This window comes from Homo sapiens, chromosome 7 (assembly GCF_000001405.40).
Source record: "Homo sapiens chromosome 7, GRCh38.p14 Primary Assembly".
NCBI lineage: Eukaryota > Metazoa > Chordata > Mammalia > Primates > Hominidae > Homo > Homo sapiens.
Window position 1 is genome coordinate 143,934,943 of NC_000007.14, and position 1,514 is coordinate 143,936,456.

The 1,514-nt window shown below is 45.7% G+C and overlaps 1 protein-coding gene across 1 annotated transcript, besides 1 other annotated feature; it reads left to right on the forward strand.

Moving 5' to 3' along the window:
- Positions 1 to 290: 290 nt before the first annotated feature.
- On the forward strand, positions 291 to 1,244 carry OR2F2 (olfactory receptor family 2 subfamily F member 2). The gene has a single exon (NM_001004685.1). The coding sequence runs from the start codon at positions 291 to 293 to the stop codon at positions 1,242 to 1,244; it is 954 nt and encodes a 317-aa protein (NP_001004685.1).
- Positions 640 to 1,139: an enhancer, noted in NCBI's record as "NANOG-H3K4me1 hESC enhancer chr7:143632675-143633174 (GRCh37/hg19 assembly coordinates)". NCBI's record gives its function as "activates a minimal SCP1, AML or CMV promoter by ChIP-STARR-seq in primed H9 embryonic stem cells {active_cell/tissue: H9 hESC(primed)}" and the evidence as "EXISTENCE:reporter gene assay evidence [ECO:0000049][PMID:30033119]".
- Positions 1,245 to 1,514: the final 270 nt, after the last annotated feature.

The window sequence follows — 1,514 nt, forward strand, 5'->3', positions numbered from 1 at the left end:
GTAAAGCTTCCAAAAATTGCACTGCATTATCTACAGGCTTTAACTGGCTTATTTGAGTCCACATCATGTCCTTATGAAAGCACTACTGTCTCTCTAATGCAAAGTAAATATAGTGTATGTTGGAAACAAGCCTGTCATCTTGGCCTTGTGAATTATCTAAAATATTTGGCCAAGGCTGGAATGTCGTATACAGTATGCATTCCTAAGAAGTTATTCTTATGATTCTTTGATTCAACAGCTTCTGTTTTTTTCTGACTCTTTCTACAGATTAATATTCCTCACATTTTTAAATGGAAATAGATAACCAGACGTGGGTGAGAGAATTTATTCTCCTTGGCTTATCCAGTGACTGGTGCACTCAGATATCCCTGTTTTCCCTGTTCTTGGTCACATACCTCATGACAGTGCTGGGGAACTGTCTCATTGTCCTTCTGATCAGACTGGACAGCCGACTCCACACTCCCATGTATTTCTTTCTCACCAACCTCTCCCTTGTCGATGTCTCCTATGCCACAAGCGTAGTCCCCCAGCTGCTGGCACATTTTCTTGCAGAACATAAAGCCATCCCATTCCAGAGCTGTGCAGCCCAGTTATTTTTCTCCCTGGCCTTGGGTGGGATTGAGTTTGTTCTCCTGGCAGTGATGGCCTATGACCGCCATGTGGCTGTGTCTGACCGCCTGCGATACTCGGCCATCATGCATGGAGGGCTGTGTGCTAGGTTGGCCATCACATCCTGGGTCAGTGGCTCCATCAACTCTCTTGTGCAGACTGCTATCACCTTTCAGCTGCCCATGTGCACTAACAAGTTTATTGATCACATATCCTGTGAACTCCTAGCTGTGGTCAGGCTGGCTTGTGTGGACACCTCCTCCAATGAGGCTGCCATCATGGTGTCTAGCATTGTTCTTCTGATGACACCTTTCTGCCTGGTTCTGTTGTCCTACATCCGGATCATCTCCACCATCCTAAAGATCCAGTCCAGAGAAGGAAGAAAGAAAGCCTTCCACACGTGTGCCTCTCACCTCACGGTGGTTGCCCTGTGCTACGGCACAACGATTTTCACTTACATCCAGCCCCACTCTGGTCCCTCAGTCCTTCAAGAGAAGCTGATCTCTGTCTTCTATGCCATTGTTATGCCTCTGCTGAACCCTGTGATTTATAGTCTAAGGAATAAAGAGGTGAAGGGGGCCTGGCATAAACTATTAGAGAAATTCTCTGGGTTAACATCCAAGCTGGGAACTTGACTCATGAACATTACTTTAAGAAGAAGCTTTGCCTCATTTTTCTCCACCCAGCTCAGATATGGCAGGGATAAACTATGTTGCTCTGGCAACCGGGAAGGAGATGATGTAACATGTACTGGGGATGTTATGTAGGAGGCTGAGTGGTTGAGTTGGATGGGGTGTGGGATGTGGGGATAATTTTATATCCCAGCAGTATGATTAGTGGAGTTAGCTACTGCTGTAACAGAACCTTCCACAATTTCTCAATCTCCACTCTTATGTTCTGATAAA